The sequence below is a fragment of the Homo sapiens genome, chromosome 18, assembly GCF_000001405.40.
Source record: "Homo sapiens chromosome 18, GRCh38.p14 Primary Assembly".
NCBI lineage: Eukaryota > Metazoa > Chordata > Mammalia > Primates > Hominidae > Homo > Homo sapiens.
In genome coordinates, this window is record NC_000018.10 from 69,590,048 (window position 1) to 69,605,827 (window position 15,780).

General features: G+C 33.7%; 1 protein-coding gene across 1 annotated transcript in view; it reads left to right on the top strand.

Annotated features, from left to right (window-relative positions):
* Positions 1-15,780, top strand: part of DOK6 (docking protein 6) — a 448,200-nt gene that overhangs the window by 189,160 nt on the left and 243,260 nt on the right. Inside the window, exon 3 of the mRNA NM_152721.6 lies at positions 9,337-9,451. Coding sequence (NP_689934.2) covers positions 9,337-9,451 — 115 coding nt within the window. The remainder of the gene's footprint in view (positions 1-9,336; positions 9,452-15,780) is intronic.

The following is a 15,780-nucleotide window of genomic DNA, read 5'->3' on the forward strand; positions in this document are numbered from 1 at the left end:
TTCTTCAGTCTTTGCTTCTCCCATAGGCTATGAAAGGAATAATCACTTAATAAATGCCTAGTGGTCTTCACAGTGAACAGCACACTGTCAAAACTCACAAATGAATAAGTAAATAAATCCTATGTTGAAGTCTAGATATGCAAAGAACTAAGTAAATGACATTAATGAATGAAAATTAACTATTTTTACTTACTGTGTCCTGCATAAGAACACAAACGGATTTCATAATGAGCCAGAAGCATCTGAGTTTAGATCAAATTGCCAAGTTCTAGAGAAAAGGTCTGTCCAGGAATGAATTATGAACTCTGTATGAGTCACTCAGGGAAGACCTGCCCATTGGTCTTGAAGAATGATTGTTAGTTTGATAGAAATATGCGAGATCAGCATACTCCAAGTGGATTATTTTGTGAAAACCTTCCTAACCTTTAAATACCATGCTTTTTATTCAGGAAAATTGAAAGACTTTGTATACGGCTGGAACTTAGCTTGTGTTGAGAGTTGGAAAAAGATGAGATTAGATGTGCAGGTAGCAACTAAATCATGGAAAGCCTTCTAGTTCTTGCTAAAGACTGAAAATTTCATTTTTAAGATGTTATCAAATAGGCTTAGGTCCTTGAAGGGCATGATTAAATGTATGGTTAAGAAATATTAGTCTGAAAACAGTGTGATCAAGATAATGAAAGGTGAGGACCATGGAGGCTGATGGGAACATAATGAAAATATTTCGGAAGAGAAAGAGTGAGGGCTTAAATGAGTCACTAATGTGAAGAGGAAGGAATAGGTAGGAGAATGTTCAAGAAGTAGAACTGACAAAATTTCATGACAGAACAGATGTTGTGGGTCCAGGAGGAGGTTATACATGGAAAAGTGGATCTCAGAGTGGTCCGTGAAAACAACACCCTTTCATCACAATGCTTCTGTGTTACTTGTCTTTTCTACTGGTTTTCATTTTCACTGTTTTGGTGCATTTGCAACAGTAATTAAAACTATAACATCCATCAAGGCCGTGGCTCCAAACAATAGTAGCAGTTATATTTTTTACAATCATGCAGTTACCTAAATAAGTAAACACACAAATAAACATGCCAATTTTATTCTCATTTTACTTAAGAATCTCCTTGATGAAGTAGTAAGAAATACTAATTTTACATCTAGACTTCCAAGTGTGTCTTTTTAATATTCTACTTGACAAAATAAATAGAACTCATAGGTCACTTCTGCTGTATACTGATATGGGATGGCTGTCTTGAGGAGAGCACATGTGTGATGGTTGAAGTCACAAGCCTAACAGTTACTTAAAGAAAAAAACAGCTATTTTAATGAATGAATGACTGACAGACAACCGTGGTCATTCAGACTTTGGTATTTGTCACGTATGTTCTCAAAAATGAACTAAGGGAGTCTTATCAAGGAAAACAACTGAGTGCTTACTGAAAATTTGAAAATTTAAGCTTGCAAGTAAAAATTAAAATTTGGGAATCTTGTATCTGCATTTTTCAACTTGACAACTTCTCAAAACTGGACTTTTCTGAAGAGACTAAGGTCGATATTAAATATTTTTTTAAAAATATGTATAATAAAATAATGTCAATATTGGGAAGGTTTGCATAACTGAGTAAATCAGTATTTTCCCAAAGATCATTCCAAGATGATACAAAACCATAATGGATAAAAGACTCATTAAAAGTTGAAACTAGACCTATGAATTCTAGGAGTAGGAAAAGCATGTGACATGGTATCAGACTCCCTGTTGCAATAACCTTCAATAAAACATTTGCTGAGCTTAGAGAAAGAATCAAAGGAGACTAATATAGGTTAGTTGACAAGTTCATATCTGTATAAGGCCTTATTTTCTTCATATGTTCTTAATCAAAAGAATATATTAAACAGATTAAACTCAGAAGCAGATATGAGTATTAAGCTGTGTTGTATTAAGCCAGGTATTTGAGTTTTGGAAAAATGCAAAAACGTTGACACTCCTCTTCGTACTATTTGGGAATTATTTTCATTTTAAAATGCTGTTTGTGTTGGTATTAATTCATTTATTATTTTTTAAACACATAATAAAAATATTTAAGAATGTATAAGTTCTAATATCTCTTATAGAAATCACTAACAGATATAACCCACATGAATAAAGTTGGGTAAGAGTAAGGTTTGGGAGTTGGTGGCTTTTGTTTTTCTTTTTTCTTTTTTTTTTTTAAACTTACCCTTTAAAATCCAAGTGTCATGTCTACAAAGAAGTGGCAGAACCCACAAATTAAAATAAAGATCTTTCTTCCTCTCTGCTCCCTTAATTCTGATTTTTCCTTCTTTCATAGGGTTTACTAGAGTTATTTTTTATTTTCCCACTCCAAATCAATTATGAAATCCTACAAAAACAAGATCATGTGTTTCATCTTTGTCTCTACTAGCACCGTGAATTGCTTAGGGATTTCTCTTTAAAATGACAATTAAATAACATCTGTTAGCAGTGTTGTCATTTAGGTAAATTTATACTTAGGCATTAGTCTTGTCATTTATCAGACCTTAATATTTTAAATTTTTCATCATGGAACGTATTGATTTGGATGTGAACAACCTGAATTATTTTCAAGTAATTTTTCCTTCAATTCAATTCAGTCAACTTCATATTTACTTAAAATAATTAAGTTTAATGCTTTTATTAAACTTTAATCAGTACTTTATGCTTTTACAACCATGTGAAAAATCAATAATTTAAAAGTACATATTATTTTTAATGATGCAATAATTTACCGATATTGAAAAGCTCAAGGATTTCACAATTTTAATACATGTTGATAATTTTTTATGTTACATTGACAGGTTTTAGACTAATAAAAACATAATTTTAAAACATTTTAGAAATTTTAAAAGCTTTCTTTATGTAAGTAAATACAGAGTTTCCCATGATAGTCAATCCATATAGTATTGACAGTAAAAAAAGAAATGAAGATAGGATATTCAAATACATTAGATCTTGTCCTAAATTTTCATGGTTAAAATTTTTTTTTAAGTGGAATTTGGTTAGGCACAGTGGCATGATGGATTTCATGCTTGTAATCCCAACACTCTGGGAGGCCAAGGCTGGAAGGTAGCTTGAGGCCAAGAGTTTAAGACCAGACTGTATAACATAGAGAGAGCCCATTTCTACAAAAAAATTAAATTAAAAAAATTAGTTGGGCATGGTGGCACACACCTGTAGTCCCAGCTACTTGGAAGGCTGAAGCAAGAGGATTGCTTGAACCCAGGAGTTTGAGGCTGCAGTGAGCTGTGATCTCACCACTTCACGCCAGCCTGGGCCACAGAACAAGGCCCTGTCTCTTAAAAGAAAAAAAAAAAAGAAAGAAAAAAGTAGAATTTGATACTCTTCATTATATTTTTCTTTTCTGGTATCTGTTTAATTTCTTAGGGTACATGCTGAAGTGGATAACATCACACTGTTGATCAACAATGAAAAACCTTGCATTATTCTAAAAACTACTGTAACAATGTGGGCTTGAAGAAGCTGTCTGCATTTCTAAATGTAAATTTTACAGAAGAGCAAACACTGTGTTTGACCTACATCATCTGTCAGATATCCTAAGGCTCTGAAATTAGAAAATCCCTGGGGTTTGCTGCATTTTGCTAGGCTATCCATTAGCTTATTTTGTCAATTTTTATTATAAGAGGACAAAAAAATAGAAATCACAATATCTGTTCTAATATTCTTTTATATTTGCAAGTAAAAACCTTTGGAAAAGGTTCTCAAATAGATTTATAAATGTTTTTATTATATGGTACATCTAGCTATTATATGTAATGTAGTTTAACAGTATATCATTCTTGTGTTTATCTTTTTATGTAAATTCTTAAGCCACACATAATTTTCATTAAGATCCTTTGTTCAGGTAAAATTAGTAGCATTTGAAAATGGTATATCTTTTCAAACATAACTTCAATTTATTTTGTTGTAATAAAATTTGTTGTAAATATCACTTGATTCCATTAATCATTTAAAAATTACAAAGTTAAGCTTTATTTCAGAACACGATTTAATGTGCTTAAAATACAACCCGTGAATCACTCTTCCTAAAAAACTTCATATTTCTCTCCAGGGTATTAATTCTCAGGAACTGTAAGACATTGATGTTTATTTTTTTTTTTTACTGAAAGGGAAAATGAATGTTTTCAGATAGATGGATGGACAGATAGATAGCAAATTGTATACACATACATGTACACACATACACACACATGCACATATATACACACATACATACATACAGATACATGCATATACAAATATATGTATTTTTATATATAAGCAAACCTCTTTAAGTATTTTACTTAAAATCACCCATATTACATATTTTAATTTTTCAAGATAATTTTAAATGAGATAATTACAAATAGGGAGAAAACAAATATAAATAACAGATATATTAAAACTAATTTTCTAAGCTAAAGCCTTTCCTTTAAGAACTGACATAAAAAAAGAAAACCTACTTTCACCCCTCCTATTCTACATAGCACTAGAAGTCCTAGCCAGAGCAAACAGGCAAAAAAAAAAAAAAGAAAGAAGAAATAAAAGGCATCCAGATTGGAAAAGAAGTCAAATTGTCAAATTGTCCCTCTTTGCAGATGAGATGATCTTATATTTTGAAAAATGTATATTTTGGCCTCACACAGTGGATCACACCTGCAATGCTAACACTTTGGGAGGTGGAGGCAGGAGGATCACTTGACATCAGAAGTTCAAGAACAGCCTGGGTAATATAGTGATACTCTGTCTCTTACGTGAAAAAAAAAGAAAAGAAAAAAGAAAAAGGAGCACCTAAAGACTCTGCCAAAGTGGATTTAGATATGATAAATTCAGTAAAGTTGCAGCATACAAAATCAACATACAAAAAGAAGTGGCATTTCTATACACCAATAATGAACTAGTTAAAAAAGAGATCAAGAAGGCAGTCTCATTTACAATACCTCAAAAAATAAAATAAAATATCTAGGAACAAATTTAACCAAGGAGGTGAAAGACCTCTACAAGGAAAACTGCAAAACACTGATGAAAGAATTGAACAAATGCAAAGACATGCCATGTTAATGGACTGGAAAACTTAGTTGTTAAAATGACCATACTACTCAAAGCAATCTACAGATTCAATGCAATCCCTATCAAGTTACCAATGTCTTTTTTTACAGAATTAGAAAAACAATTGTGTGGCTAATCTAAGCACAACAGTTTTGGCACTCACTGAGTGGAAAATTTGTTCAACTTTAATTTTTCTGTCAGACTTGTATAAGCTGAACCAATTGAGATGACTGTGGGTTTGGCTATTGTTCTGCCATTAATTGTTGGTCTTTCTTAAGGCAAGAACAAGATGATTTTTTTCCCTCAAAAATTGATGTGGATGATCTGCCACTGAGGGCTTCATCTTGAACATCATCTTGTCTCTTCTTAAATAGACTTATTTATTTGTAAGCTGCTGATTTCTTTGGACATTGTTTCCCATAAACTTTTTGTGAAGCATCAATAATTTCATCGTTCTTCCACCCAAGCTTTGCCCTAAGTTTGATGTTTGTCTTTGCTTCAATTTTAGCAGAATTCATGTTTCTCTGATAGGAGTTCTTTTCAAACTGATGTCTTATCCTTCTTAGTGCCTCAAACTAGAGTCTATTTAGATATGTTACAACAAAAGTTGATGAGTTTATGTGAATTTATGAGTTATGAGATTAATAATTTATTTTGGTGCAAAAAATTTTTAATCCATGCGTAGTTTTTTCACTATAAGCATTTTCTATGAACCTTTCAAAGACCCCTCATATATACTATTCATTCTGTTTCTCCAGAGAAGCCTAACTAAGACACACGGCTTAGAGATTTTTGCCCTAGAAGAATAAAGCTGACCATAAAACAGAGTTCTCAGTCTCTTTCCAAAAACACCTGACTTCATTTTCAACCGGGTGTGGAAAAGTTTAAGCATAAGGACACTATACAAAAGCACAGAGGTTGTGATGAAAAGCAATTGAGAGAAAATGATAGGTATATGAGAGATATAAGCTAAACTTTAGGTCAGCAAGTTTGCTGGACAGGACCTGGAACATAGACACCTGGGAGGAGCCCATCTGGATTTAGAACCAATGTAAAACAATGACCTCAGGAACTATCACTTTAAAAGATCCCAAATTGGATTGGCCCCATATGTGAAGTAATATATGCCCCCAGGATATTTTTTTAAAAAATAAAGAAATCAGCCTGCAAATAGTGGAGCTAAATAATTGGGTGTGGTCATGGAAAGAAAGAGTGAAAGGTAGTCCTGATTAAACTACTGTCATTCCAGATCCAGAAGCTCAATTAACTCAAAGTAGGATAAATGCAAAGTGATATACCATCAGGAATGTCATAGTAAAAATACTGAAAGACAAAGACAAATGGAATATCTTGAAAGCAGCAAAAGAAAAACTGCTCTTCACTTACAAAGGAACCCCAATAAGATTAACATCTGACTTCTCACTAAAAACACTGTAGACTGGAAGGCAGTGGAAAGTATATTCAAAGTGCTTAAAGGGGGAAAAAAAACACGCCCACAAAGAATCTTGTATTCTTCAAAAAATACGATGAAATAAAGGCATCGTGAGACAGACTAAAACTCACAGACATGCCTTACAAGAAATAGTAAGTGATCCCAGTCCAACCGTAACAAAAAACAGTATCAGTAAGGTAATTATAAAAGACAGTATAAATGCATATTTATTTTTTTCCTCTGAACTGACTTAAAAGGCAATTACATAAAACAATACGTATATAATGTACTTTTAGGCCTATAACATATAGAGTTCTAATATATTTACCAATAACAACACAAAGGAGGTGGTGGCAGCAAAGTTGTATCGACTATGGAAATGACTTCAGATAGTAACTCAAGTCAATAGGAACAAAAGAAAAGATACAGAAATTATAAAGAAAATGTTAATGTAAAAAGCAATAAATATACACTTGATCTCCTCTCAGCTTCTTTAAAAGATATAAAATTATATAAATTAATTAAAATTATAAATATGATGTAATGTTGGGTTTGTAACATTTATATTAATAGATGCAATATGTATAAAAATAATATCACAGTAAGGGAAAAAGCTATGTAGATATGAGATTTCTATATTTCACTGGAACACAATATCAATCTAAAGCTAATTCTGATATGTTAAAATATTTATGGTAAACCCTAGAACAATCTCTAAGGCATGTAGTTGATTTTCATTATTCATTGTAGTTATGGTCTATAAAGCCTCTGCAAACATTCAGTTGCAAATCATGAATGAATTAATGAATGACCTCTAGTCACAATGCTTTTGTTAACTGATCATTATATTACCTCGTTTTATTGTTGCTCTTTAAAGATATCTGATTGCTAATAATGAACTTAGGGCAAACAGCACTGTACCTCATGCTGAATAAAGCTTATCTAACACATGTATTTTCTCCATAAGGGGTATCACAGTCTCTTTAACTTAGGGACACTAGACAGCAGTTTAGGGCTGCACTTGGGGAGCCATTTTTAAAAGTGTAGTCAACAAGAAAAATCACAAAAATGCAAAAGCCATGGCTCTACGCAGAGCATGAAAAGGACATGTGTCTACAGTATGACCACAAACACAATAAGACACAGCATCGCCTGCTCAACCTCAGCTGGAAGCGTGCACATCTGGAGACTCAAACGCCTGCTCAACCTCAGCTGGAAGCGTGCATATCTGGAGACTCAAAGTTTTCACCCCTCTGCACATGCACATGTCTACAAATGACCACAGATGTGCCATGTGTATTTATGTTGGGGTTGTAAATACATTTTTGCAAGTAGGTGAATTCACAGATTCAGAAACCACAAATAAAGATGATCAACTGTAACTTTAAAAAATACCTGATGACTTGGGTGATTTTCCTTGACAAGTAACTTTCAGCCACTCTCTGTAGTCTCCATTCCAACATATCCAATTGCTCATTTCCATCCACATTATAGATTACTCGCCTGTGATTTTTAGGTTTTTTTGTGTTCTTATTGGGGATCTTAGTCTAGTCTACATAGTGTAATGTTAAATACAGATATAAATGCTTGCTAAACTAACCACACTTAATATTAAAGATAATAAAATATTATTTCCTTAGGAAAATAGATCCTAAGGAATATTACTTAAATATTGATTATATTTGTATTATATATTAGATTATATAACTATAATATGCAAATGTGTATATAAATATGCATGTGGTTAATTATTGTGTTTATAAAAATATTAATCAGCAAAATAGCCTTGAAAAAGCTAGTTATATCCTGTAAAAATTCTACATTTGGAGAAGAGAAATTAAAGCATAGTCAAAAGGTAATGAATTTATTATAAGATCATATAATTATAGATATAATATCATAGGTTGTCATAAAAGAGGATATTAACTTGCTGTTTACTATGCTAGTTAATCCTGTCTTCTTTCTGTTAACAGTATGGATCTAGAAATAAGAAATCTTATAAATTAGAAGAAAAAATTCGCACCTTGATAAGCAGATTTTAAAAAATTAACTCATTGAATATTATTATTGCAATGTTGTGTTTGCAGAGTTGTTGAGGAAATATACATTTGTTTGTTTCTGTTGACTGCGGGGGAAATTAAAGATGCACAAATTGTAGCAGAAGATCTTGTACCAATAAGGAGTCAACATCCAAAATACATAAGGCTACTAGATATTTATTAATTGCCCAATAAATAAATTGTTGTTAACCTGGGTGCATAAATCTTGGATGGGCTTTGGTGGGAGAAGTGGTGTATGGGTCTGTGAACACTATGAGCATTTTTCTGGAGAGCAAGTCTATTGCTCTAAAATGTACCTTTTGGAGCAATGGACTTGCTTTCCAGTCACTTTTCTGACAGATATGTGTCAGTTGCCTCAGGACCATAGGCCTACAGGAAATTTGCATGACAGGTGAAAATTAAGAGAGAGGAGATATTAAATACAATCAATATTCAGCAGATATTTAATGAAAATCCTCTGTTATACCACAACTGCTATTATTTGCCAGGTATATGCTTTTAATAAAAGCACAAAGTCCATAGAACCCTTCTACATAATGTGTAGGTCATTTCAAAATGCAGCAAACAATATAGTCTGTGACCAAAGTTAAGGGCATAATAGAAGACATTTTGTTTTTTTCTTTACTGTTTTTGGCTAAAGTCAATTCAGAATGAGTACAAATATCCCGTGGAAATTCATGTAAGACTGTGATAACTTATCATTTTGTTTCAGCACTCCAACATACAGCATACATACTGTACACTAAGTTAAATATATTTTTTCTTTCAAGGTAACTGAACTGCACAATATCAAAAATATAACCAGACTGCCCCGAGAGACAAAGAAGCATGCGGTGGCAATCATCTTTCACGATGAAACATCGAAGACATTTGCCTGTGAGTCAGGTAAGCTATTATTGGCCATCTACCCCTTGAGGAAATTGAGCTGCTTGTGAGACAATGGCCCAGGCGGATTAAGGTACACTATTGAACAGGATGGCCTACTGTCATGAGAATGTGCTGTAGAAGACTTCGTTCAGAAGCTCAACGTATTGATTTCTACAGATGTTTTTGTGCCTGTTGTTACATGTCTGTGTCTGGATTTGGCTCCCAGGTGGTCTGCCTGTTGAGGTTTCCGTTCAAGCTTTGAGAATTAAGTAAACAATACCTGGCAGGTGTTGTTCGGGTGAGTGCATGACCAATATTCTGGTTCTTGCTCATTGTGTCTCTAGGCATTTTGTAGGGCAGGAATCAGGGTGCTGTGCAAAAGCATGGCAGAGCACAGCCCCAGTCCGCAGACACCACAAAACAGAACTTTGAGGAATGTATTGTTTTCATGGATTCTCAGTACTACAAGTAAATACATTTCAGATTGAATTTTAGCATCTCAGTTCGTAAAGCACTCTGACATTATTGAGACACAAGGCAGTTTATAGTTTGAACTTGCAGTATTTTTCATGTTGGAATCCCTGTGGTGTGTAATATATTAGTTGGCTTGTCACTTTTTAAAGATTTTGCTCAATGCAATGGTGCATTCATTTTATAATGGATGTTAGCAGAAAGTACCAAGGGTTTGCAAGATGTGAACTTAAACTAATGATTAGGTCTTTAGGAGAAATTTTATTCAGCATTTTAAAAAAGTAAAATGGTCCTTCTAGTTTTGTATACTTTGTTTATGGATGTCATTAATGTCAGGTTATATTATTCTAAAACTGATAATATCCCTTTGCCTAACTGAAATTGCTCACACCTCTCACCGACCTTATCTTAGTATGGCTAAACTGAACTGGAATTTATCTCCGTGTTCCTCTTTTCTTGCGTGCCTTTATCCATCTGTCCCGGCATATTTCTCTTCACTTGCCATCTGACCTCCTTGCATCATTTAAAATCGACATTTTGGAGTTGCACAGAAGCCTGTTAAATGATATAAATTCCCATTTTGTAATACCCCCTGTCCCAACCTTGCTGGTGTAATATAATATCATCCAATGATTTTTCTGCCTTCCTGTCAGCTGTCTTAAAACTGGTAAACCACTTTATTTTTCTCTGGGCTCTTAATCTCTCATATTAAAACTAGTATTTAAAAAAAAACTAAAAGGTAATGTTTAATATTTAAATTTCTAATTTTCCCAATTACTGTACATTTTCAAATTGTAGTGAGCAATATTTTGAATGTATAGGAAATACTGGAGCCTATTAATTTGTTAAAGAATGATATTTGGTTATATTTCTTTATGTGAAAATCTTATTTATGTTGTGTTTGGAAAGGTATTGACCTAAAATTCATGTTTAGTTAATAACTTAATCATTCAATATATTGCTGCTTTCAATCTGACTACAATCTTGAATCCGATATTACAGTAGAAAGTCATTTAATGCAATTTTATGTATTTATACAGATGTTTTTTGATTTACATCATTATAATCTACTCTCCATTTAACTTTCTATTGGTTGTAGAATAAACTACGCTTGAGAATATTATAAAGCTTACAAGATTCTGCCTTTTCAAATTTCTATATTCTTGGAAGTTAGAGAAAATACATATTCCTAAAATTTTGTCTAAATATCTTTGCTGCTCCATGACTCTTTTCTGCCTCATTTATCCTGGTATCGCCTGAATGTCCTTGCCCTCATAGATCACAGAATACATACCAATGGCCCAATTGAAAGCAAAGCTCTGATTTACATCCTGATACTTAGAGCATTTTAATAGAAAAGGTGTATTATTTGAATAGTACATTTGAGTTCTGTGCTCCCATCATCTCAAGTTCTTAGTTTATAAATGTCAGTCTCTATAATATATCGATATTGATCTATTAATTCAGAAACTCATATAAACATAGTTGAAATTCAGCAGTACTTGTGTTTATATACTATATGGAAATTCTGAAGTATGGTTTGTTGAATTTTGTTGGTCTATGCCCAACAGAGGACCAGGGTGTTCAGACGGGAAGTGTGATAACAGAGCAGCGCCCAACTCCCAACCAGGGGCTGGAGTCAGAGCACCTTATCGTTACACAAGGTTCTGTGCAAACAAAACATTCTCCCTGGTGCGTTGGCTTAACAAAAGCATTTAAATTTTAATTTAAAGGCCATCAAGATTTAGAATTTTAAAATAAAACTCCCAAGTACACCTAGCATCCAGATCTTTCTTGGTTTTTAGTAACAGGAACCAGGGCTTCTTGGAGAAATGGTAGATTCTAGGACCGGGGCATGAAATACACAAGACGAGCCCAGAGCATCTTGTAGTGCCAGAAAGTAAGGAAGTACCACACGAATGCTTCTGTATGTCAGAGGGACACAGGAGTTCCCAATGGCCAAAGATGGAACAATTTGAATACTAAAATAAAGTAGCTAAGGATTATAACCCAAATTATAAATGAATATTTATGAGTCCATGCTTTAGCAATGCTTGATGAATAAATACATAGGAGAGTATAGAAAAATATCCCATGCAGAAAATTGCAAATAATTTATGTAGATGCTCTGTCCAGAGGAGGTGGAGCATGACTCCCTGTGCCTTAAGTGGGGGCTGTTCATAGTTACTTCCTCCCTAGGAGAATAGGATAGAAAGGGATGGGAGAAAACAGCTTTGTGGTGGAGAAAACTGACAGACACTGCCTCAGCCAGGTGACCAAGGTGAAGATCAACAATGATAAATCATGTTGATAGACTCTACCCTTGATATGACGTGATCAAAAATAGCACTTTACCTCTGTGGTCTTCATCCTAACAACCTATAAACCCATGAGAATAACATCAGACACATCCCAATGAAGGGACATTCTACAAATACCTGCCCAGTATTCCTCAAAACTTTCAAGGTCATTACAAAGAAGGAAAGCCTGGAAAACTGTCCCAACCAAGAGGGAGCTAAGAAGGCCTGATGAATAAATGTAATGTGGTATATTGATGGGATCTTGAAACCAAAAGAGGACAATAAGTAAACACTAAGGAAAACTTAATAAAATGTGGTGATTAGTTAGTAAAAATTTATCAATACTAGTTCATTAATTTTAACAAATGTACCATACTAATGTAAGATGTTACTAATAGAAGATAGATATAGGCTATATAGGAACTCAGTATTATTTTTGCAATAATTCTTTCAATCTAAAACTATACCAAAATGAGATTTTTTTGTTTAAAAATAATGTGGAAGTGAATAAAAATATATCGATGACCTACAGTAGACTCAAGTATAATAGAAATATAGTGCATTATCAAGGATATATTAAAAATTAGTAAAGAAAATTATATCTTACAAATAACTGGTGTTTGAAAAACTAAATTCTTACACCATCCTATTATAGAATGCTTTCAGAATGATGAAGTGATATTCATTATTTCTCAACAATGGAAATGACAATACTAAAATCATTGCCACTGTTCAGTGGCTTGATAGGAAATGTTAGATGTTTACCTAGTGTCATGAACAATAATGAAGAACCAGACTTAAAGTTGTATTGTGAGAGTCCCATTTTTCAATGTAGGTGATTCAGCAGAAGGCTGAGCCTACCACATGTTCTTTTAGCGAACTGAGCACTCCCTTCAGGGTCATTTTAGAATACTGTTTTATTGCTAACTTTGAAATAATTATCGAGGCCCTGCTTGGTTTTCTCTGAAATGCTGCTGTGTGAGCTTACCACACATCTGTAGGACAAATGGAAAGGTTACAAGATGGCTTACCTTTTGACACTGATTTCATAGCGCAAAAACCTACCCTTGTAGCCCCTAATCCTACAATTCAGCCGGCCTACCTTACAGAGTGCCCTGTAGACATTTGTTACCAGTCTATAGATCATGTAAAACCTATACCAGAATCTGCTCATCACAGTTATTGCTACCATGTTAGTCTCTTCCAAAGATTTCTAGATACCCTAAAATATGGACATCTGCCGGGCGCTGTGGCTCACACCTGTAATCCCAGCACTTCGGGAGGCCGAGGCGGGTGGATCACGAGGTCAGGAGATCGAGAGCATCCTGGCTAGCACGGTGAAACCCCGTCTCTACTAAAAATACAAAAAATTAGCCGGGTGTGGTGGCGGGCGCCTGTAGTCCCACATACGTGAGAGGATGAGGCAGGAGAATGGCGTGAACCCGGGAGGCGGAGCTTGCAGTGAGCCGAGATCGCGCCACTGCACTCCAGCCTGGGCGACAGAGCGAGACTCCGTCTCAAAAAAAAAAAAAAAAAAAAAAAAAAGGACATCTGTGGAAAACTTTACTCAGTTCTTGTTGAGCCAAAAAGTTGACATTAAAATGCATGTATTTGTGAAGCATAAGTTTAGGGAAACTATTTTGGATATTAAGTTATTATACGATTTATTCTCAGTGAAAAACATTTATAAAGAAATAGGATCATAATTTTATTTTAACTAGGATAATTTCAAAATATAAGCATCAAATTAGGGTCATTAATAGCATTCTTCATTGAAAATGACAAGTAGTGGTCTCAATAAATCACAGTGATAATTTGAATCCATAATTTAAACTGAACCCTGCAATTATTTTTAATATAAACAGATAATTTCTATATCTGACTTTGAACTTTCCCATTATCAATTACCAGTGGGGAAAAATGGCTTATTTAGTATACTAATTAAGGAATTTAGGATTAGTATAACCACAAAAGACAAGGTTCTGTTTTTTAAAAATTTTCGAACACACAGAAACCTCTTGCTAACAAAGACTGTTTCTTCTCATGTCTGAATTTCACACGCACAAGTCTGAAATGTGAAGGTTTCTTAATGTTGGTTTTATGGTTCGTGTAAGATTTTTGGGAAATGAAGGGCTCTTCATTAGGATAAAATGGTCTTAACTTCCCAGAGAAGAATTTCCTGACAACGTGGCTGAAGTTAGATACAAATGTTAATATAGAAGAATGCTTTTATTTGAATTTCTAGCAAATGGTTTTCAACTACTTTAAATATGACCTACTTGAAAGTATTATTTCTTTTTTAAAACTACTTTTTATGTATAGATCTAAGTCTGCTTGAAGCTAGTAGTTAAAGTGTTTGAGAAATAAAGGCAAGATTTTTTTTAATTGTCTCAACCTTCATGACACATGCTGATCGGGATAAAAAAGAACTTGAAAATCATAATCAAGAAATTTTATTACTTTGTAATGCAAATTATTTTTAGATAAATGTTAAGCTACAGTAGTTTATATCTGTTAATAAAATTTCATCCTCCAAGAAAATGCTGTGTCAAGTAGATATTGTATAGATTATTAAATACTCAAAGGAATTGCCAAGCAATAACAAGAAATCCACTTTCATTTTATTTGTATAAATTTGAGGGTACAGGTGCAGTTTTGTTATGTGGGTACATTGTGCAGTGGTGAAGTCTGAAGAAACCCACTTTCTAAAGTTTAATGAGTGTCGCTTCTCCTTGTCAGAGAGAGTATCTGCACCATGGCCTCTGGATAGAAAATTTCAAAAAATCCTTGTAGTTTTTTGAGACCCCTGTTAGGAGAGATCCCTTTGTGTGTGTGTGTGTGTGTGTGTGTGTGTGTGTGTGTGTGTGTGTGTGTGTTTCAGAATCAGCTGAGACCAAATCATTTTGCAGCATTCAAGAAGTATTGGTCATTTTTAAAAGCTTAAACATACAAAATGATAAAAAGTAACAGTAATTTTACTGAAACCTTTCTATAAGGTTAGGAAATGTATTAATAAGAGTAGGAAATGTATTAATCCAAAATGTCCTCCCTGCAGCCCCATGCGAACTGACCTGTCCGTTTAACCAAAGAAGAAACAGAGGTACTTTGAACCTCAGCACATGCTCTTAACAACTAGGTCACCTGTACAAGTTTTCACCTAAGTCCTGATGCTAATTACCAAACGTATATTCACTTAACATAGATGACAGTCATATGCTGTCTTTTCCTTGAGGTCTCTCCTTAAGCACAAATTATTACTAAGTCTAGGATAAAAGTTAAAACATCACTTTTTTCTGGTGGATGACTTGAGAAATGAAATGTAACAACAATAAAAGGTAGTATAATTTTCAATATTCAGGAAATAATCCCACTCATAATCTAAAGAATAAAAATTATATTATTATATTGTCACAGAAAAAGTATTTCACAATATTCAAAGACATTCATGATAAAAACTATGAGAAAATAAAAAATAGATGGGAACTTCCTCAACTTGATAAAGAACATCTGCAGAAACCTACCGCTACATCACACTTAAGATAAAAACTGATGCTTTCTCCATAGACTGGGAAGACG